General features: G+C 44.1%; 2 pseudogenes, 1 gene segment (V, D, J or C) and 1 further gene, besides 11 other annotated features; 1 reads left to right on the top strand and 3 right to left on the bottom strand.

The window, feature by feature from the left end:
- IGL (immunoglobulin lambda locus) overlaps positions 1-6,309 on the bottom strand; it is an 896,838-nt gene extending 890,529 nt beyond the window's left edge.
- Positions 1-20,879, top strand: part of PRAMENP (PRAME N-terminal like, pseudogene) — a 52,836-nt pseudogene that overhangs the window by 11,550 nt on the left and 20,407 nt on the right. The window contains exons 2-4 of the transcript NR_135291.1: positions 6,058-6,163; positions 6,256-7,212; positions 8,955-9,091. The product of NR_135291.1 is annotated as a PRAME N-terminal like, pseudogene (transcript). The remainder of the gene's footprint in view (positions 1-6,057; positions 6,164-6,255; positions 7,213-8,954; positions 9,092-20,879) is intronic.
- Positions 628-1,407: an enhancer, noted in NCBI's record as "H3K4me1 hESC enhancer chr22:22385376-22386155 (GRCh37/hg19 assembly coordinates)". NCBI's record gives its function as "activates a minimal SCP1, AML or CMV promoter by ChIP-STARR-seq in naive H9 embryonic stem cells {active_cell/tissue: H9 hESC(naive)}" and the evidence as "EXISTENCE:reporter gene assay evidence [ECO:0000049][PMID:30033119]".
- Positions 861-980: a silencer, noted in NCBI's record as "silent region_13521". NCBI's record gives its function as "represses an Ori minimal core promoter by ATAC-STARR-seq in GM12878 lymphoblastoid cells {active_cell/tissue: GM12878}" and the evidence as "EXISTENCE:reporter gene assay evidence [ECO:0000049][PMID:35858748]".
- On the bottom strand, positions 913-1,391 carry IGLV4-69 (immunoglobulin lambda variable 4-69). The segment is given in 2 exon segments: positions 913-1,222; positions 1,343-1,391. Coding segments are annotated over 2 exon segments (359 nt in total).
- Positions 1,051-1,110: an enhancer, noted in NCBI's record as "active region_18718". NCBI's record gives its function as "activates an Ori minimal core promoter by ATAC-STARR-seq in GM12878 lymphoblastoid cells {active_cell/tissue: GM12878}" and the evidence as "EXISTENCE:reporter gene assay evidence [ECO:0000049][PMID:35858748]".
- Positions 1,251-1,330: an enhancer, noted in NCBI's record as "active region_18717". NCBI's record gives its function as "activates an Ori minimal core promoter by ATAC-STARR-seq in GM12878 lymphoblastoid cells {active_cell/tissue: GM12878}" and the evidence as "EXISTENCE:reporter gene assay evidence [ECO:0000049][PMID:35858748]".
- Positions 1,408-2,188: an enhancer, noted in NCBI's record as "H3K4me1 hESC enhancer chr22:22384595-22385375 (GRCh37/hg19 assembly coordinates)". NCBI's record gives its function as "activates a minimal SCP1, AML or CMV promoter by ChIP-STARR-seq in naive H9 embryonic stem cells {active_cell/tissue: H9 hESC(naive)}" and the evidence as "EXISTENCE:reporter gene assay evidence [ECO:0000049][PMID:30033119]".
- Positions 1,771-2,030: an enhancer, noted in NCBI's record as "active region_18716". NCBI's record gives its function as "activates an Ori minimal core promoter by ATAC-STARR-seq in GM12878 lymphoblastoid cells {active_cell/tissue: GM12878}" and the evidence as "EXISTENCE:reporter gene assay evidence [ECO:0000049][PMID:35858748]".
- Positions 2,888-3,017: an enhancer, noted in NCBI's record as "active region_18715". NCBI's record gives its function as "activates an Ori minimal core promoter by ATAC-STARR-seq in GM12878 lymphoblastoid cells {active_cell/tissue: GM12878}" and the evidence as "EXISTENCE:reporter gene assay evidence [ECO:0000049][PMID:35858748]".
- Positions 3,666-3,735: an enhancer, noted in NCBI's record as "active region_18714". NCBI's record gives its function as "activates an Ori minimal core promoter by ATAC-STARR-seq in GM12878 lymphoblastoid cells {active_cell/tissue: GM12878}" and the evidence as "EXISTENCE:reporter gene assay evidence [ECO:0000049][PMID:35858748]".
- Positions 5,662-5,781: a silencer, noted in NCBI's record as "silent region_13520". NCBI's record gives its function as "represses an Ori minimal core promoter by ATAC-STARR-seq in GM12878 lymphoblastoid cells {active_cell/tissue: GM12878}" and the evidence as "EXISTENCE:reporter gene assay evidence [ECO:0000049][PMID:35858748]".
- Positions 5,832-6,309, bottom strand: IGLVI-70 (immunoglobulin lambda variable (I)-70 (pseudogene); annotated as a pseudogene). The gene is given in 2 exon segments: positions 5,832-6,135; positions 6,264-6,309. Coding segments are annotated over 2 exon segments (350 nt in total).
- Positions 6,882-7,061: an enhancer, noted in NCBI's record as "active region_18713". NCBI's record gives its function as "activates an Ori minimal core promoter by ATAC-STARR-seq in GM12878 lymphoblastoid cells {active_cell/tissue: GM12878}" and the evidence as "EXISTENCE:reporter gene assay evidence [ECO:0000049][PMID:35858748]".
- Positions 13,408-14,015: an enhancer, noted in NCBI's record as "OCT4-NANOG-H3K4me1 hESC enhancer chr22:22372768-22373375 (GRCh37/hg19 assembly coordinates)". NCBI's record gives its function as "activates a minimal SCP1, AML or CMV promoter by ChIP-STARR-seq in primed H9 embryonic stem cells {active_cell/tissue: H9 hESC(primed)}" and the evidence as "EXISTENCE:reporter gene assay evidence [ECO:0000049][PMID:30033119]".

The following is a 20,879-nucleotide window of genomic DNA, read 5'->3' as shown; positions in this document are numbered from 1 at the left end:
ACCCATGTATCCTGTCTCCTCCACTGTTCACTTTGTCATCCCCAAGAAGGATGGAGATGGGCAGTGTTTAGGCCATAACACACCTTAGTCTCACATCTCCACAGACCCTCCTTCCTGGATATACTTGCTTAGCTCACTGTGAGGTTTATAGGGCAGTTCTGGGAGGCTGGACTCCCTGAGGAGCCTCCACTAGGGGACATCAGAGCAGGAAGCCCAATGGGGACAGGGCTCCCTCCAGGACACAGGGAGCTGCTCCCTCTTTCTTCTCCCTGGGCTGTCTAGAGCCTGCACCCAGACTGCCTTGCTTCTCTCTGGGCCTATTTCTTCTTCTCAGCCCCTCAAGAAATTTGATTGCAGAAAAGGAAAAGATTAAAAAATAAATTTAAAAATATTTGCCAGCACCAGGCATAAATTCTAGGGCAATATGACACCAAGTGCAATTTTGAGAGGAGAGAGGGGAGCCCTAGGTAGGCTTCTGATTCCTAATTATCCTTCCTTATTTGGGCACTAAGAGGCAAATAACATCTTTCAAAGGGCAGGGTCAGCACTCTCTAAATCTGTCCTGAGTACATGGAATGATGACTCTTTCAGGATTTGGAAACAATTTCTAAGGCTCATTTTTCTTCTGTCAAGAGAAAATGGTTAGCTCCACAGGCACTGAATTCAGCATATTTGGAAAATTAGGTAATATTTCATAGTCATCATGATATTTTTGTTTCTGTTTTTAGTTTTCCTGAGACTTCAGAAAACTTGAATGAGAAATTGAGAGTAGAAACATTTTAAACCAGACGGTGCTTCCAAGTGGAGTGTGTACATATAAAACATATTTGAAAATTTAAAACTTGTCATATAACAAGACCCTGAGCAGGCTGAGGTTTCTGTCCCACTTCCTCATCTGCCTGTGTCACTGTGTGAATGCCAGTGCCCCAGGTCTGACAGTAATAGTCAGCCTCATCCTCAGACTGGAGGCTGGAGATGGTGAGGTAGCGCTCAGCCCCAGAGCTGGAGCCTGAGAAGCGATCAGGGATCCCGTCCCCCTTGCTGTGGCTGCCATCACTGTTAAGCTTCATCAAGTACCGAGGGCCCTTCTCTGGCTGCTGCTGATGCCATGCGATGGCGTAGCTGCTGTGCCCACTGCTCAGAGTGCAGGTGAGCTTGACCGAGGCTCCCAGGGAGGCAGAGGCAGAGGGCGATTGAGTCAGCACAAGCTGGGAGAGAGACCCTGAAAACACAGACACCCATTACCGGCTGGAGTCAAGAAAAGAGGGAAGGACATTCCTGGCATAAGTTTGGGAGGTGGTATCAGTGAGCTGGAGGTCAGGGTGCTGAGGGCCATCCTGACCTGTGCAGTGGAGGAGGAGGGTGAGGAAGAGGAGTGGGGTCCAAGCCATGGTGCAGACTCCCCAGAGCTCTGCTGAGGCTGACAGTTGCAGGTATTTCTTACCCACCCTGTAGTCCCAGAGGAGAGAGAGGGGCCCTTCATGCAAATGTGCTCCTCTTCCTCTGCCCAACCAAATCACTCCGTGTGCCTGAGTGTCAGTCCCAGTGGTGGGGTGACATTTCTGGGAGGGGTTACCTGGGCTGGGCCTGGCCTGAGGCTCTCCAAGGGTGCAGAGAGAGCCCAGCTGCTGGCCCCAGTGAACCCTGCGTGGAGACCAAGTTCAAGTGTTTGGTTTCCCAGCTGAGAAACCCACAGAGCCCTCAGCAGCAGACCAACAGCACCCCCTTCTGCCTAGGCCCAGGTCCATCGTGTCTGTGACCAGATGCCAGTGGGTCCTGACAGAGGCTTCTGCCCGGACCAGGGCCTTGACCACGGCCTGTTCTCTGTCCAAGGGCAAAGTGGGACCCCTCGTCAGGGCAGCCTCCTATTTTATTTCAGACTTTAGTTTTCCATTTAGCCCTTTTCAGTGGGAGCGGGACACATGATCCACCCCACTTTGCAAAAGTCCTCAGGAGAAAGGTGTCTCTCATACACGTTCTATTTGGTAGGTGTAATGGGATAATTTACATTGACTGGAACAGAATGTCTCCATTCTGCAGTAATGGAGATGTTGTGAGAATGGATCGGACTGTTGGCTACATGAGCATCTGCATTTGTAAAAACCATCAAACTGTATAATTAAGACCTGTGAATTTTACTTTATATAAGTTATCTTTCTATATAATAAACAGAAAAAATAGGAGAAAATGGCTACTTTTCAGACAAAACCCGATGGAATTTGCCACCAGCAGAACTGCTCTACAGGAAATTCTAAAACTGTTTTTCAGTGAGATGAAAAATAATCTCAGTTAGTAGCTCCCCAAATTAGAAATAAATATTTTAAAAAGTAGAGAAAAGAGGGTAAACTCAAAGGAAAACTGAGTACATAAAACAATGATTTTTACATCAGTTGGTGTTACATGCATGTATGTGTAAACGTAATGGTGCATGTGTATGTACTTATGAACACATATTAATAGAGGTGCGTGCATATTTGTAAACATAACATAACTGTATGTTTTGATATTAGGTAAATTGCTAGAGAGTAAATGGAATTGAAGTTTCTGCACTCTAACTCTGTACTCCCTGAAGCTGTATTTTAGACCCTGAGCTGCCCTAGTCTTTTTATAGTTTCCCAAACAATCAAGGGGACAGATTTTCTACCTTGAAATAAAAACTTAATGTAGGGCTGTCCCCACCTCACCCCTTGGCCTGGATGCTCCCAGGCCAGCAGGAGAATGAGAAGAGAAGAGTTGAGCCTAGGGAGGTTTCCAATGGGGAGAGGACACCTGGCCTTTGATAGGCCCCGGGTCCAACAGGTCAAAGCTTTGGGCCAATCAGGGAATGGGGAACTTGCCATCTGATCAAACCCGAGGGAGACCCCGAGTGTTTTCCCAGCTGGTGGGACCGTGTCAGGAGAGCTTCAATGTCCCTGACTGACTGCAGGCCCCAGTTTCTATCAGGCCTCTTTGACAGGCCTGAGCCCTTCCCTGGAGGGTCCTAGATGGCCTGGATCAACTTTTCTGGTGCTGCTGCTGCTCATCACCTCAGAATGGATTTATCGAAATTCCAAGTTCTAGATGAGCATTGTTGGCCCAGAGGAGGCAATCTCACTGGGACTAAGTTAGAGAAGACTTCTCTTCCATCAGCATAGCATAGGAGTAATAGGCTTTTTAATTAGATCAAATAGAGCAACCCAAAAGAAGTAAAACAGGAAAAAAAAGAAATCTATCTTTCCACTTTTTAGTATCCTGGATGCAAAAAATTAAATTCTTTCTACTGCTCATGCATTGGGTAAACCCCTCACCAGTCAGTTTTAGGCACTTATTTTGTTTTATTTTATCTTTTTTTAAACCTTCATTTCTTATTCAAAAGTACATCCCAATGTCCTACAGTTAGTACTCTGCTATGTGGAAATAATAAGAAAACATCTAATTTGTTTTTCAAGTATTACATTTTTTACCCATGAATTATCCATACTGGGCCAGGTGTGGTGGCTTATGCCTGTAATTCCAGCAATTTGGGAGGCCAAAGCAGGAGGATCAGTTGAGCCCAGTAGTTACAGACCAGCCTGGGCAACATAGTGAGATCTTGTCTCTACAAAAAATAAGCAAAATTAGCCAGGCATGGTGGTGCGTGCCCGTAGGCTTAGCTACTTGTGAAGCTGAGGTGGGAGGATTGCTTGAGCCTGGGAGTTTGAGGCTGCAGTGAGCCATGATTGCACCACTGCACTCCAGCCTGGGCAACAGAGTGAGACACTGTCTCAAAAACAAAACAAAACAAAAAAAGGCCAGGCGTTGTGGCTTATGCCTGTAATTCCAGCTCTTTGGGAGGCCGAGGTGAACACATCACCTGAGGTCAGAAGTTCGAGACCAACCTCGCCCACATGGCAAAACCCCATCTCTACTAAAAATACAAAAATTAGCTGGGTGTGGTGGCGGGCGCCTGTATCCCGGCTACTCAGGAGGCTGAGGCAGGAGAATCACTTGAATCTGGGAGGCAGAGGTTGCAGTGAACCGAGATTGTGCCACTGCACTCCAGTCTGGGCAACAGAATGAGACTTTTTCAAAAAACAACGACAACAACAAAAAAGAAACGCAAAGAAATATCCACACTATATGTTTGTGTTATTAATTCAGGATTACATGATAAAACTTTTCCATCCTTTTACTTTCATTTAATGTTTTCTGTAAACATAATTATAGATACACATTAAGGTGAAAAAATATGTAATAAAGGTTTAGTTACACTTCAACCAGTTTTCCTCAAAAGTGGCATCTTACAACACAATATGCAATTTAGAAAATCAGAATGATGCAATTAACATTGAAGTAATGCTTTATGCCATTTTAACTAGGTGTTTATTTGTGTTATCATTTTACTTTTGTGTATATACTTCTATTTAGAGTTTATTATAGAATCGCATGCTTGTCTCTTGTTTTTTATTTTTCTCAGTGTGACAAACTCTGTGTTTAATATATGTGCTTAGTTCATTTACATTTAATGAAATTATTCACATGGTTGGATTTAAGCTTACAATTTTAGTGTAAGTTTCCTTTTTCTCTTTATAACTTTTGTTCCTCTCCACCCTGTTTCTGCTACTTCTGGATTATTTGAGTATTATTTAGTGGGCTCTTTTGATTTTTATATTGATTTTATATTGGTATCTCTGCACAGTTTTACATTGGTTGCTGTAAAGATTACAACATGTACATGTAACTATTCATGATCTATTTAGATTTAATAATAGGCCTAATATTTTCCCAGTCATGTAGACCCCTTACAGTTCCTTCTTTTGGTTGAAGTTTCATGTATATATATATATGTGTGTGTGTGTGTGTGTGTGTGTGTGTGTGTGTGTGTGTGTATATATATGTATATATGTGTATATATGTATATATAATATTTTTCATAAGTAGAAATTATATCAAAAATGCTATAACTTAGCTTTTGATATGCATATTTTCCAGAACTGTAGAGCTAAAAATTTGGTCTTTTACTACTATATTTATTGGTTATTCTTCCTGCATTCTTTGGGTTCAATGTTTCCATTATCATTTATCTTCCACCTGAAAATTTTCTCTTAGAGTTGATTTGTTTTGATTTTTTTTAGATGAATTCTTTCAGGTTTTCTTCATCTGACAAAGTCTTATTTTTTACCTTTTTTAAAAAAAAAAAATCTTTACCTGGATATAGCATTATGACTCAACAGTTCTTTCTTTCTTTCTTTTGACTTTGTAAGAACATAACACTGCCATTTGGCCTCAATGTATACTCATAAAATACCTCTCATTGTTTGAATTGTTGATTTTCTGTATATATTATAAAGCTTTCTGTCTGCTTTCATAATTGTGTCTTTATCTTTGGTTTCAGTAATCTATTATTACATGCTTGGGCATTTGAAAAACCTAGCTGTTTGGCATCACTGAGTTTCTTAGGTCTTTAAATGCATGTTCTTTACAGAAAGTCTTTAGCAATGACCAGTGGCTGGGGAGAAAGGGTGAAGGGTGGCTGCTAATTGTGGGGGTTTTTTTGTGGGGTGATGAAAACGTTTTAAAATTAGATTATGGTGATAGATGCATAATTCTGTAAACACAATAAGACAATTTAATTGTACATTTTATACGAAGTGAAATTTATCTCACTTTTTCAAATAGAGACAATGTGGGAACAAGGCCCGCTGACCCTTTGCAGGGGCCTGTGGCTGAGTCTCACTTCCTCCCTTGCTTAAACTGTACGATCAGCCACAGGCACCCTCTTTGTTTGTCATAGGCAAGTATGGAGTGATCAGCCTCGGGACAGGCCAAGGGCAGGTTTTTGTCTCGGTTCCCCATGTGCCTGCAGCACTGTGTGAGCACTGAGGCTGTAGTCCCATGTTGAACAGTAATAATCAGCCTCGTCCTCAGGCTAGAGGCCCGAGATAGTCAGGGAGGCTGTGGTCCCAGACTTTGAGCCAGAGAAGCGGTCAGGGATCCCTGAGGGCAGAGAATTTCCAAACATCACAGTTTTGGGAGCACCGTGAGAAATCTGTTGGTACCAGCCCACAGCATAACTTCCAACGTTGTTGCTGTTTCCAGTACAGGAGAGGGTGACCTTCTGTCCCACGGTCCCTGACACCGAGGCTTCCTGGGTCAGCGCAGACTGTGCCCAGGACCCTGGAACAGAGGAGGCAGGCACAGAGAGGTGAGTCTGGGTTCACTACCCACCCCACAATGTTAAAATATAAGAGAAAAGTCATCCCATGTGTCCCCAATAATCACTTTGGCATTCCACAGGCAGTCACCTGAGCAGAGGGTGAGAAGCTGGAGGAGGAGAGGGGTCCAGGCCATGGTGGAGATGCCCCAGGCTCTGCTTCCTAAGCCCACAGCTGAGCAGAACTGCACAGAGTCTCTCTTATCCTCTCCTCCTAAGAGGGCACAGAGCACCCTTCATGCAAATCACACCCCTCCCCCTGCTATCCCTGGGCCTGAACTTGGGGAAAGTTGAGTGTGGGGTGGGGCTAGAGGAGCCTCTTCTGCTCCTGGGAGGTCCCAGCTGCTGGGCCCCAGAAAGCACAGAGCAGAGGGCCCAGGGTAGGGGTCCAGGGCCTGGTTTCCCAGTTGAAACCCCCACAGACCCTCAGGGACAGGCCACACTTCCCTCCACTGTCTCAGAGCCCAGGTTCATTCCTGACTGGCTTGAAGGTCCTCAGCACTGCCTTGCGCACACCATCCCCACACAGAGGCAGCGCTCACGCCCCTCCACCCCCACCCCAGGCTCTTTGTGCTGCAGGTGCTCACCACAGCACATTTCTCGCTGCAAGATGGGCCTCCTCAGCATGAAGTCATCCTCTGCTTCTTCCCCATTTAGATTTTTGTGTGGTTGGGGCCATAGGTGAGTGAGCCTCAGAGAGAACATGTCCTGCACCCAGTGGCCAGGAGGGCAGGAGGGTTAACAACCCTCCCCAGCCTCCATATGGGCCTGAGGGCACCTGCTTCTCTCTCTCATCATACCCCACATCCCCCCGTGGGAGGCCGGGCTCCGTGACCCTCATCACTGTCCTCATCACACCCTTGATGGGGTGAGACCCTTAATGAAAATGCACAGGGAAATTATTCAAGAAGAGACCATCATTATGAAAGAGAGAAAAGTCTGCTTCTCTTATGGATACTTGGACCTGAGGAAGATGACCAAGGTCACCACTCTCCCTAGATACAGCCCAGAGAGGGGCCACCGGGATGACTAGGCACCAGGTAGGATGTGCACATCAGGGTGAAATTGGGAATGGGGGAGGTTAAGAATAGAAGGGTTAGAGTTTTATGGAAAGATCAAGAAGATGACCCAAAAGTTCCGAGACACCTTGTCTAAGCCCTTTACTCACAGTCCAATGTGATTTAACCATTCAAATTTTTTGTTTTTGAGAATGGGCTTTGCTCTTGTTGAACCTCCGCCTCCCAGGTTCAAGCGATTCTCCTGCCTAAGCCTCCCGAGTAGCTGGCATTACAGGCACCCATCACCACACCTGACTAATTTTTGTATTTTTAGTAGAGACGGGGTTTCACCGTGTTGCCCAAGCTGGTCTCAAACTCCTGACCTCAGGTGATCCACCGGCCTCGGCCTCCCAAAGTGCTGGGATTACAGGCATAAGCCACCGCGCCCAGCCTCAAGTATTCTTTTATAGCACTTACTTTGTGTCAGGTACCATTCTATTTGCATCGTGAATGTTAACACGATTATTTTTCCGAGGACCTAATCCGCAAGTGTAGTTTCAGTGGCATTGTATGCTGAGATAGATTACACATACACACACACACACACACAACACACACACAAACGTAAATGTTTGTGTATGTGTTTAATGCTTTCATCTGCATGATTCAGAAAAAATTTAGCATAGTATCTTTCACAGTGATCCACACAAAACAAAAAGATGCCTGTGACCTTGACAATTTGATTCTCCATGGTAACGCTAAAACCTGTATAATATTATTACTTAGTAGTCACGCAGTAAATATTTTTGAATTGAAAAATTAGTGAATATTTAAACACACACACACACACACACACACACACACACATTTCCACCTATCCCAACCCTGGGTAAAAAAATACGATGACAATATTCATTTCAGTCTTCCTCTTTTATTTAATAATAATCCTCCATCTAAATTCTCAGCCAGTTTGTTGGGAGTCAGCCGAGATAGATCTGCTTTTCTCACACACAAGCTCCAAGCCCTCTCCATGTCCAATGTATTCTACAGCATAAAGTGACAAGGAATCTGCTCTCTCCTCTTTACCCCACAGTAACTCACCTAGATCTTCCCACCAGGATGGCATGAGCAACCACATCCTGTCTTCCTGTCCCAGGCCTCTCCATTCTATTCTCATTACAGCTGGAGAGTCACTGATCAAATGCCAATGTGAGTTCATCTCTCCCACCTCACAGCCCCGCAGTGGCTCTGTGTGCTTTTCTCAGGAGGCTGATCTGCCCCAATCTGCACCTCCAGCTCTGCAGCCACCCTAAGTCAGAGGTGTTAGAACCAGAGTGACTCCATGTTGAATAGGGGCTTGATTAAATGAGGCTTAGGCATGCTGGCCTGCATTTCCAGGAGGTTAGGCATTCTTAGTCACAGGATGAGCTAGGAAGTCAACCAGACTGGGATCACAAGATACAGGTCATAAAGACCCTGCTGATAAGACAGGATACGCTAAAGAAGCCGGCCAAAACCTACTGAAACCAAGACGGTGAGGAAAGTGACCTCTGGTTGTCCTCACAGTTAGAAATGCTATGGCAACATCCACAAGTTACCTTATGTGGTCTATATTTTTAAAAAGAATTCCTGAAAAGCTAATAAATAATCCACTCCTTATTTAGCATATGATCAAGGACTATCTATACAAATAGCCGACCAGCAGTGTTTGGTGCTGCCCTGTCTATGGAGTAGCCATTCCTTTATTCATTTACTGTCTTAATAAACTTGTTTCCACTTTATAGACTCCTCCCAAATTATTTCTTGCATGAGATCCAAGAACCCTCTCTTGGGATCTGAATCAGGACCCCTTTCCAGTAACACCTGCAGGAAGCACATCCTGGCCCCTTCCCTGCTCCACTGACTGGAGGCACAGGCCAAGGTAATTTCACTGTTTGACTTGAATGACCAATAACTCATCTTTGGGTTCTCACCTCTGATTAGAATCTTCTGACCCTCACCCTCCACCCATCGCCCTCCTGCTCATTCCGAAAGTCCCACATGAAACCCACTTCTGTGGCTTAGGCCTCTTTGGCAACTTGCCACCCGCTCTCACTGCCACACCCTCATAGAAATCCTTCCCCATATGGATCTTGTGTTCTTCTCTCTCTCTTCCCTCTCAGCTCCTGCTCAGTGGCTGAAGCAGATTTGGAGCCACGAACACGAGTCTGGCAGAGCTTTGCTTTTGTTTTTAACTGGGAAAATCTTTATAACTCTATCAGGTGAAAAGACACATCCAGATACTAAGGCAGAGTTCAGGGTAACATTTCTCAGGGGCCTCAGTCAAAGTTTCTGATGTAGGCTGGTCTTTGAGGCCCGTCCCGACACGTACAGTGAGACAGGATCACAAGGAGGGGAGGAGTCAAGTCCATGGTGGACACAGCCCCTGACCCCACCACACCGTGGGGCTGGACTGCCCCAGGCATCCTTTTCTTCCCCACCCTCTGCAGAGGAGGGGCTGCTCATGCAAGTGTGTTTCCATCAGGGGACTGCCCAGCCCCTCCCTGAGCCCTGGAGCTGGAGCTCAGCTCACACTGCAGCCTGAGGAGGAGGAAGGTTTACTTCCCGCCTTGGGAGGGCCCTGGGAGGAAGCACCTGCTGAGACCATACACAGGTCCCTGCTCAGGGGACTCTGCCAGGCCAGAAAGGACACAGCTGCTGAGTCCCCATCAGTGAGCACAGGGCCCAGCTCCAAGCCCCGAGCTCCTTGGAGTATATGGTTCTTACTGAGCTGTGTCCTGTGCTGGTTACAGGACACACTCCTTCCGTGGCCCAGAGACCTGAGAGCCCAGCCTGTCTCTGTAGTTCACCATCCATCATCTCTGTTCACACATCCATCATCCGAATCCTACCTTCTGTGATCCTGATATGTTGTACTTTATTATTGTAGTTTCTCACTCCCAAAAGGAGTCTTGGTTTCTATGTGGTACAAACTGCTGTGAATGTAACTTTTTAAGGTGTTTGTACCCCCAGAGTATATTCTGGAAAAAGTTGAATGACCCACGTGTGCCATCTGGTCAGCATCACAGACACTGTTACAGTTGATGGTTTCAAACATGTGTAGGGGCTGTTCAGGGAATGGCATTGAATGGAAAATTCCCAGGAGATAAGGTTGGTGGCCTTCTTAAAAGATGGCAATTCTCAGCAAACATTTCACACAATGCTTTACCTCTAACAGCACACAATGCTCTTAGAGTTTTGATAGGGCTTAGATGTGATTTACTAATAGTCATGGTCTTGGTAGGCCTAATACACTAGTTAATAGTGTATACACACTTTTTATTTTATGAAGTGAGGTTTATTTTTTAAAGTTTGTAGTTTTCTAAATAGTTGTTCCAGATATTTTATATCAGAATTTGGACTTAGTGTCATATAATGTGTTTACATTTAAACCTTTTTTAAAAAAAACCTGTATTTGCTTATTCTTTGTTTTGGTTAATTATGAAGCTAAGAGAGACATTTTAATGTGTTTGTAGACATGTAGAAAACTTGAACAGGAAAATTTAGAAATCATCACCTCCTCATCATACTCCATATCCAAATTTACTTTAACTGTGTGAATGATCCCCCAAATCCTCAGCTCATGGGCCCATCCAGTAACAACCTACACACAAAATCCCCTTCTTCCCCAGGTACTCTCTTCCCAAACATCCAGAGAGATGTTTTTATTCATGTTGGGCAGGTCACCCCGTGGATTAGAATCCTGCACTGACTCCTCATTGCTGTTTGTATAAAACTCACACTCCCCAGCTTCCCTAAGGCACATTCCTGGTCTGGCCTCTGACTGGCTCACAGCCCCTCCCCTTGATTGGGGTTCCAGCCTTACTCACTTCTCTGTCATGGGAATCCTGAGTTTCTGTCCCTTCCATGGTCTCCATACCAGCTCCCCCTCTGTCTGTTGGGGGGAGATGGGATTCAACTGGAAGTCAGGGTGGAAGCTTATATTTTGGCAACTTTCAGAATTCCACCTGTGACAGTGTGTGTGTGTGTGTATGTGTGTGTATCAGGTAATTTTTGAAGTTACATAAACTATAGAGACTAGTTCAACAAACTCTCCACAGGCATAGACTAGCCTCAACCATTCCTTCTACCTCTCATGCTAATCTCTCACTGAATGATATTAAAACAAATTACAAATATCACATGACTTCACTGGTTTCTGCTTTACTATATATATAAATATTTATATTTATATATATAGTAACTTCCAACCAGACACGTAGGAGTCATCTTAGATGCCTTCCTTTTCCTGCCACGGGGCACACACTTAATTTTTAATTCTCTCCAATTACTCTTTCCTTCTGGATTGTAGATTGCTAACTTCCCTTCTTCTCCACTGTCACAAATCTAACAAAATATATTGTCATCTCTCCGTGAAATATTGTCTTTGATGCCTAACTACTCTCCCAGTCTCAGATGTTGCCTCAGTTTACCCTTTAATCCACTCTCCACTCTGTACCTACAGAGCTCACAGATGCCAGAGGAGGACACTTCAGTGACTACCATGGCCTCTGCAGTCAAGCATATGCGACCTCTTAATGATCCATTCACATCCTTCCTTTAGGTCACCCAGACTCACCTAGAGTGGCTTCCTCTGACCCTGTCCCCACTGAGATCTGCCACACTTAGGCCCAATGCAAGCTCTCTTAGTAAATAGAATCAACAACCAGATATTCTTTTCAAAAATATTATTGACAAATGCTGTTAACAATGCCTGGAACATTCCACCATCATCCCTTATAGCTCATTTTCATTAACCCTAAAGACATCGTAGCAGATATCACTTCTTGTGGTCAGGCTTCAGTGGTCCAGATCCTCCCCAAGCACAAGCGCTCCGTGGGAGTTAACTCCATTGTACCCTCATGGCCACCCTTAATTCTCCTCAAACAGCTGAGTTCAAGGACTGCTGGAAACAGGAGGAGATGGGGCTCTAGATCTAGGCACAAGTTAAGAGACTCAGTTCCTGAAAACTAAAGAGGAAAGTTGTGTTAGGGGATCACTGTTCCTGTGCCAGAGATGACAGGAAGGAGCCAATCGACACAGTTAATGATAGACAATCTACATAATTGTTCCCTGGTCACTACATGGAATTGAAAGATAGGGGAAAAAAGCAGGTAAGTGACGATTCCCTCAGCTATTCCAGCAGCATTCTCAGTTTCTTCTGAAACTCAATCAGGGCCAAGTAGATGCGTCTAGACTCGCTGTCCTTTACAATGTATGGAATGCCTAGTATCACACCCCAAAAATATTTAGAATTCTGTTGCATATAAATATGTGTCTAATGAATAATTCTAAGCATTCTTAATTGGATTTATTGAGTTTTGGTAGTACTCCCAACTTAAAAAGAGCCCCTTTAGATAACAGCCCCTTCAAACACAAAACACTGCCCACCAGAAACCCACAGGCCACCATCCACCAGAAACCCACAGGCCACCACCCACCAGAAACCCACAGGCCACCACCCACCAGAAACCCACAGGCCACATCTCCTCACATTTCATTGGCCTCTTCTTCATGAGCCTGAAAAAGTCAGAGGAAGCCCCCAGGTTTTTATTTTATTTCCTTGTGGGCCTCCAACACAATGCAACCATTGTTGAAAGCTGCTGTCCTGTACTAAATAGTGATAACAAGCCTCATCCCCAGGCTGGAGCCCAGAGGAGGCCAAACTGCCTGACCTGGAGCCAGGGAATCTCTAAGATCCCTGAGGAGAAGTTGTTATTCCTAAGATCAGGAGTTTGGGGGCATATCCCAGGTGTTGCTGCTGCATGGGTAGGGTCTCTGTGGAGTCCTCACCCCACGGCAGGTCAGCCCTCACCTGTGCAGAGTGAGGAGAACTAAGAGGAGAGTGGCCAGGTCATGGTGCGGTCATCAAAATATCTGCATCCCAAGACTCCAGCATGGACTTGAACTACCACTATTTTTTTTTTTTTCAGACAAGAGTTTATCTCTTGTTGCCCAGGCTGGAGTGCAATGGCATGATCTCGGCTCACTGCAACCTCCACCTCCCGGGTTCAAGCGATTCTCCTGCCGCAGCCTTCTGAGTACTTGGGATTACAGGCATGCACCACCATGCCTGGCTAATTTTGTGTGTGTGTGTGTGTGTGTTTTTTTTTTTTAGTAGAGACGGACTTTCTTCATGTTGGCCAGGTTGGTCTCGAACTCCCGAACTCAGGTGATCGGCCAGCCTTCCCCTCCTAAAGTGCTGGGATTACAGGTGTGAGCCACCATGCCCAGAAGAAGTACTACTAATTCTTAGTCTCTACAAGTCCCAATGGTGGAGAATTTTTTGCATTCAAAGGAATGCAAAAATGCATCCCTTGTCAAAGGAAAAAATATATATCAGGACCCCAAATTCACTATGCCAAAGGTAAAGTTACACCTGGGAACCGAGTTGTGCAAAAACTGCCTTCCTTGTGTTCACAGAGGTAGCTGCAACTTCACATATTGACTTCATCTTATGTAAAATGTAGATTCACCATTCAGAAGAGGCATGCATAGTTGACTTCCCCCACTCATTTCTTTTCATATGTAAACTGTAGATTCACTGAGCTCATCCAGACTCATCTATAATTGCTTCCTCTGAGCCTGTCCCTACTGAGTGGTCACAAGAATGTTACCATTTGCCTCATTGCCTACCCCACAACTCTGATTTTTCTCCTGCTTCTTCCTTTTCTCCTTCCTTTCTAACTTACCCTTTCCCCTTTAAATATTGAAGTCCTCAAAACCCTCTTTGGATAAAGCACAGGATACAGATTCTACTATGACTTGTGTTTCTTTTTCCCTCTAAATTGATTAAGATCTGCGTCTGTTCCTTTTTGGTTTACATTCTGGACTCTGACCAGCCGAAGGGATTGAGAACACTAAACAAGTCAGCAAACCATTAAGAAAGCTGATTTCAGAGAAGTGCTGTGAGAACAACAGAAGACCCGTACGGAGGGCTACTGGGGTTGTGGGTTGGGGGCTACTCTACTTGAGTCGTGGGGAGCAGTGAGGGTCAGAGAACAAAGGCTTGTCTGTGAACGTTACCAGTGACTGATGGGTGAGGGTTGAGAAGCAGCCAGACATCAAGAGAGATAAGGAGAGGCCTCTCAGGCAGAGAAATGAGAGGCACAGCAAGAAGGAATAGGGCCGGGTGCGGTGGCTCACCCCTGTAATCCCAGCACTTTGGGAGGCTGAGGCAGGTGGATCACGAGATCAGGAGATCGACACCATCCTGGCTAACACGGTGAAACCCCATCTCTACTAAAAACATACAAAAAAATTAGCCAGGCGTGGTGGTGGGCGCCTGTAGTCCCAGCTATTCGGGAGGCTGAGGCAGGAGAATGGTGTGAACCCAGGAGGCGGAGCTTGCAATGAGCAGACATCATGCCACTGCACTCCAGCCTGAGCAACAGAGCGAGACTCCATCTCAAAAAAAAAAAAAAAAAAAAAAGGAATCAGGGAAGTGGAGGATGAAAGATGGGCCAAAACTTTTGATGCTGCAAATGGAGAGTCATGGAACCCTTGGCCCTTCATGTGAAGTCACCTGGAGAAGAAGCAACTGGGATGGAACACAGGTGATTAAGGTGGAAACAGGCTAATTAAGTGGAATTGTTTTAATATTTTTGTTGCATACGTTACTGATACTAAATGCATGTCTCATTCCCATGCCGCCCCTCACCCATCCTGCACTCCTTGAGAACTTCTATTGCTATTCTTCCTTCTAATTCTTAAATAATTTATGGATACTTTTGTGTTTTCCGTGTCATCTGCAATAACAGCAATTGTATTTATTCATTTCTAATCCTGTGTCTTTAATATAATTTTCATTCCTTAGCACCCTGACTAGGCTCTCCAGTATGGTATTAATTAGAATACATGAACGTGGGTGTCCTTGTCCCTTCCCTGACATTGTGAGATATGCCTCCGACACATCTCATTTAGAATGAGATGTCCCTGTTCAGGATAAAGTTTAGTAGCATTCCCCTATAAAACTATCTTGGCTTGGTGCTTCCTGCATGGTAGTTTTTGATAACTTTCTCTGTTCTTCTATGGAAATTAATAAACCTTTACATTGTGATAAAATATATATATAAACAAAAGTAGTCATTTAAATCATTTTAAGTGTACCATTTCATGTTGTTACTTTTCAAAATGTTCTGCAACCATCACCATTATCAATTGCCAAAACATTTTCACCACCCTAAACAGACACTCTGTACCCATAAGCAACAACTTCTCATTCTCCCACCTTCCCACTTCCAATAACCTCTAATCTACTTTCTGTCTCTATAAATTTGCTTATTCTAAATATTTTGTATGTGGGAAATCACTCAGTAAATGGTTGTTATGGGTTGAAAATCTCCAAAGCAGATGTAATGAAGTCCTAATCCCCAATACCTCAGGATGTGACCTCATCTGGAAATAGAGACTTTACAGAAGTAATAAAATTAAGATGAGGTCAGCCAGGCACAGTGGCTCATGCCTGTAATCCCAGCACTTTGGGAGGCCGAGGTGGGTGGATCACAAGGTCAGGAGTTTGAGACCAGCCTGGCCAACATGGTGAAACCCGGTCTCTACTAAAAATACAAAAAATTAGCTTGGGCGTGGTGGCGGGTGCTGGGCATGGTGGCGGGCACCTGTAATCCCAGCTACTTGGGAGGCTGAGGCAGGAGACTCTCTTGAACCCGAGAGGCGGAGGTTGTAGCGAGCCAAGATCGCACCACTGCACTCCAGCCCGGGTGACAGTGCAAGACTCCATCTCAAAAAAAAAAAAAAAAAAAATTAAGATGAGGTCATTAGGGTAGGCCCTAGTCCATTATGACTGGGGGAAATTTGGACATAGAGACATGCACTCACAGAGGGAAATGTTTGACTGTGAAAAAGTCACAGGTAGAAAGCAAGGAACATCTAAAGCTACCAGGAGCTAGGACAGAGACCTGGACCAGATCCTTTCTTTCCTAATGCCTGCAGAGAGTGCCTGGCCCTGCTGAAACCTTCATCTCAGACTTCTGGACACCAAAACTGTGAAACAATACATTTGTATCGTTCCAAGCCAACCACTTAGTGGTACTTTTTTACGGCAGCCCTGGGAAACTAATACAATGGCCTTTTGTGGCTGACTTCACTTAGCATAATGTTTTCAACACTCATCCATGTTGCAGATGTATCCGAACCTCATTCCTTTCTAGGTATGTATGTACCATATTTTGTTCATTCATTCATCTGTTGATGGGAACTTGGATTGTTTCTACCGTTTGGCTCTGGTGGGTACTGTGGTGAACATCAGCATACAAGTATCTGTTTGAGTCCCTATTTCAAATTCTTTGTCATATACCTAGGAGCAGAATTGCTGGGTTATATGGTAATTCTGTTTAACCTTTTGAGAAACCACCAAACTGTTTACCACAGGGTCCGCACCATTTAACAATCCCACCAGCAATGTACAAGTGTTATCCTTTCTCTACATCCTCATCAATACCTCTTATTTCCATTTTGTTTTGACTATAGTCTGGTAGGTGTGAATTGCTATCTTCCCTGGCTTTAATTGACATTTTCCTAATGACTAATGATGTTGAGCATCTTTTCATGTGTTAATTTACCATTTGTATATTTTCTTTGGAGAAATGTCTATTCAGATCCTTTGCCCATATTATAATTGGGTGTTTCTCTTTTTGTTGTTGAGTCATAGGAATTCTTTATATATTCTGTATGTTAAGCCCTTATCAGGTTTATGATTTGCAGACATTTTCCCATTCTGTGGGTTGCCTTTTCACATTCTAGATAGTGTCTGCTGATGCATAAAAGTTTTAAATTTTGATGAAATTCAACTTATTTATCTCTTCTTGTGTTGCAGTGCCTTGAGTATCAGTTTAAAAAAAACATTGCCAGACCAGACACAGTGGTTCATGCCTGTAATCCTAGCACGTTGGGAGGCCAACACCAGAGGATTGCTTGATCCCAGGAGTTCAAGACCAGCTTGGGTAACATAGCGAGACATGGTCTCTATTTTTTTTTTTAATAAAATTAAAAAGTTAAAAAAAAAACCATTGCCAAATTCAAAGTCATGAAGATTTGTCTCTATGTTTTCTTCTAAAAGTTTTGTACTTTTAACCTTTATATTTAGGTCTTCAATCCATTTTTAGTTAATTTTTGTATACAGTAGAAAGAGTCCAACTTCATTTTTTTATATGTGTATATCCTGTTTTCCCAACAGTTTCTTTGTTGACAAGACTGTTCTTTCCCCCATTGAATAGGCTTGGCACCCTTGTTGAAAATCAAATGATCATAGATGCGAGAGTTTATTTCTGGGCTCTCCATTCTATTCCATTGGTCTATGTGTCTACCTTAACGAGTACTGCACTTTTATGATTACTGCAGCTTCATAGTAAGTTTTTTAATTTTGGGGGAACAGGGTCTTGCTCTGTCACCCAGGCTGGCGTGCAGTGGCATGACTATGACTCACTGCAGCCTCCTCCTCCTGAGCTCAAGTGATCCTCCTGCCTCAGCCTCCCGATTGTTTTTTGTTTTGGTGGTGGGGGGAGGTTGGTAAAGACGGTCTCGTTTTATTACATAGGCTGTCTCAAATGCCTGGATTCAAGCAGTCCTCCCACCTCGACTTCCCAAAGTGCTGGGATTATAGGCATGGGCCACTGCACGCAGTCTGCAGTAAGTTTTGAAATTGGGAAATTGGGTTCTCCCAACTTTTGTTCTTTTTCAAGATTGTTTCAGCCATTTAGGATCCCTTGAAATTACATATCAATTTTAGGATGAGTTTTTCCATCTTTTGCCTAACACCGTAGAGATTTTTTTTTTTTTAAGATGAAGTCTCGCTGTGTTGCCCAGGCTGGAGTGCCATGGCGCAATCTTGGCTCACTGTAGTCTCTGTCTCCCGGGTTCAAGCGATTCTCCTGCCTCAGCCTCCCAAGTAGCTGGGATTACAGGTGTGCACCACCACTCCCAGCTAATTTTTGTATTTTTGGTAGAGACAAGGTTTTGCCATGTTAGCCAGACTGGTCTCAAACTCCTGACCTAAGGTGATCGCCTGCCTCAGCCTCCCAAAATACTGGGATTATCGGCGTGAGCCACCACACCCAGCCACACTATGGGGATTTTGATAGGGATTGCATTGAATCTGTAAGTCACTTTGGGTAGTGTATTCATGTCCTAGTGATGCCATAGAGAAGTACCCAACTGAGTGGCTTAAAACCAAAATTTGTTCTCAGAGTCCTAGAGGCTAGAAATGTGAAATTAGGTGTTAAAGAACCATACATCCTTTGAAATCTCTAGCAAAGGATCTTTCCTTGCCTATTACACCCTTTGGGTCTCTGCAGACATTCCTTGGCTTGTGGCAATGTAACTCCAACCTTTGCCTCCATCGTCACATGCTTGTCATCCCTCTCTCTTTGGGTCCAAATTTTTCTCCTCTTCTTTAGGGCTGAATAATATTCCATTGTGTATATATACCACATGTTCTTTATCCATTCGTCTGTCAATGAACACTTAGGTTGTTTCCGTTTCTTGGCTATTGTAAACAATACTGCAATAAATTACACTGCAGTGAACATGGGAGTGAAGATACCTCTTCTTGACAGTGATTTTATTCCTGTGGACACGTACCCAAAAATATGATTGCTGGATCATATGGTACTTCTACTTTTAATTTTTTGAGGAATCTTCATACTGTTTTTTCATAAAAGCTATATGAATTTATATTCCCAGTAATAATGTACAAGGGTTCCCTTTTCTCCATGTTCTCACCAACACTTGTTATCTTTTGACTTTTTTATAATAGCCATCCTAACAGGTATGAGGTGACATTTCACTGTGGCTTTAATTTGTATTTCTCTGATGATTAATGATGTTGAGCATATTTTCATGTATCTGTGGACTATTTACGTATCTTCTTTTGAAAAATGTCTATTTAGGTCCTTTATACTTTTTTTTTTTTTTTGAGATGGAGTTTTGCTCTTGTTGCCCAGGCTGCAGTGCAACGGTGCGATCTCAGCTCACTACAACCTCCGCCTCCCAGGTTCAAGCAATTCTCCTGCCTCAGCCTCCCGAGTAGCTGGAACTACAGGCACCCGCCACCATGCCCAGCTAATTTTTGTATTTTTAGTAGGGACGGGGTTTCACCATGTTGGCCCAGGCTGGTCTCGAACTCCTGACTTTGTGATCCACCTGCCTTGGCCTCCCAATGTGCTGGGATTACAGGCGTGAGCCACTGCACCAGGCCTATCCATTTCTTAATTGTTCTGTTTTTGCTGTTGAGTTGTATGAGTTCTTATATATTTCGGGGGGTTTTGTTTGTTTTGGTTTGGTTTTTTTTGAGACACAGTCTCACTGTATTACCCAGGCTGGAATGCAGTGGCACAATCTCAGTTCACTGCAACCTCTGCCTCCTGAGTTCAAGCTATTCTCCTACCTCAGCCTCCCGAGTAGCTGGGATTACAGGCGTGCGCCACCATGCCCGGCTAATTTTTTGTATTTTTAGTAGAGACGGGTTTTGCCATGTTAGCCAGGCTGATCTTGAACCCCTGGCCTCAGTGATCCACCCGCCTCAGCCTCCCAAGTGCTGGGATTTACAGGTGTGAACCACTGCATCCAGCCTGTAATTTTTTCTTGATAGCCCAACATGACGTATAGGATAAAAAGAACTGTAATAAATAGGCTTTTAGTAATATGGTAAGGTGTGAGGGGAGGAAAGTAGTCAGTATTTTCATGACTAGGTCTTGATCTTTTAGTGAGCTTGTGCCTCTGGACTGTGAACTTCACAGGTGCTTCCCAGTTCTTCTCCCCAGTTAGGTGGGAAAGGATGGCTACAGCTGGCTGGAGCTGAGGTTTTCTCTTCTTCCAGGTCATTAGGCTCTGATAAAACCCTAACAGGTTAGGTTCTGGTTAAATACAGTAAGTCCTCACTTAACATCAATAGGTTCTTGGAAACTATTGACTATGACTTTAAGCAAAACCAACTTTTTTTTCCTCATCACCATTGTAAGGAAATGACATTGAACAAATGGACATTATTCATGGCCATATGTATGTCATTTTGCTTAGAGTTGCAGTTTCCAAGAACCTAGTGATGACACTGAGGACTTACTGTAGTCTCTCTTGCACGTGTACCCTAAAACTTAAAGTATAATAATAATAATTTTTAAAAAATAATAAAAATAATTAAAAAAAAGAACAGAACTGGCCAGGTGCAATGGCTCATGCCTGTAATCCTAACACTCTGGGAGGCTGAGGCAGGAGGACTGCTTGAGATCAGGAATTCAAGACCAGCCTGGGAAACATGGCAAAACCCTGTCTCTACAAAATAATAATAATAATAATAAAATAATTTAAAAAGAACAGAATTGGCCGGGCGCGGTGGCTCACGCCTGTAATCCCAACACTCTGGGAGGCCAAGGCAGGCGGATCACGAGGTCAGGAGATCGAGACCATCCTGGCTAACATGGTGAAACCCTGTCTCTACTAAAAATACAAAAAAAAAGAGAAATAGCCAGGCATGGTGGCGGGCGCCTGTAGTCCCAGCTGCTCAGGAGGCTGAGGCAGGAGAATGGTGTGAACTCGGGAGGCGGGGCTTGTAGTGAGCCCAGATCGTGCCACTGCACTCCAGCCTGGGCAACCGAGCAAGACGCCGTCTCAAAAAAAAAAGAAAAAAAAACAGAATTATCTGGAATGTTTCAAAA

The sequence above is a fragment of the Homo sapiens genome, chromosome 22, assembly GCF_000001405.40.
Source record: "Homo sapiens chromosome 22, GRCh38.p14 Primary Assembly".
Taxonomy (NCBI): domain Eukaryota; kingdom Metazoa; phylum Chordata; class Mammalia; order Primates; family Hominidae; genus Homo; species Homo sapiens.
Note: the sequence above shows the minus strand (reverse complement) of the source record. Positions and strands in the feature narration are given on the sequence as shown.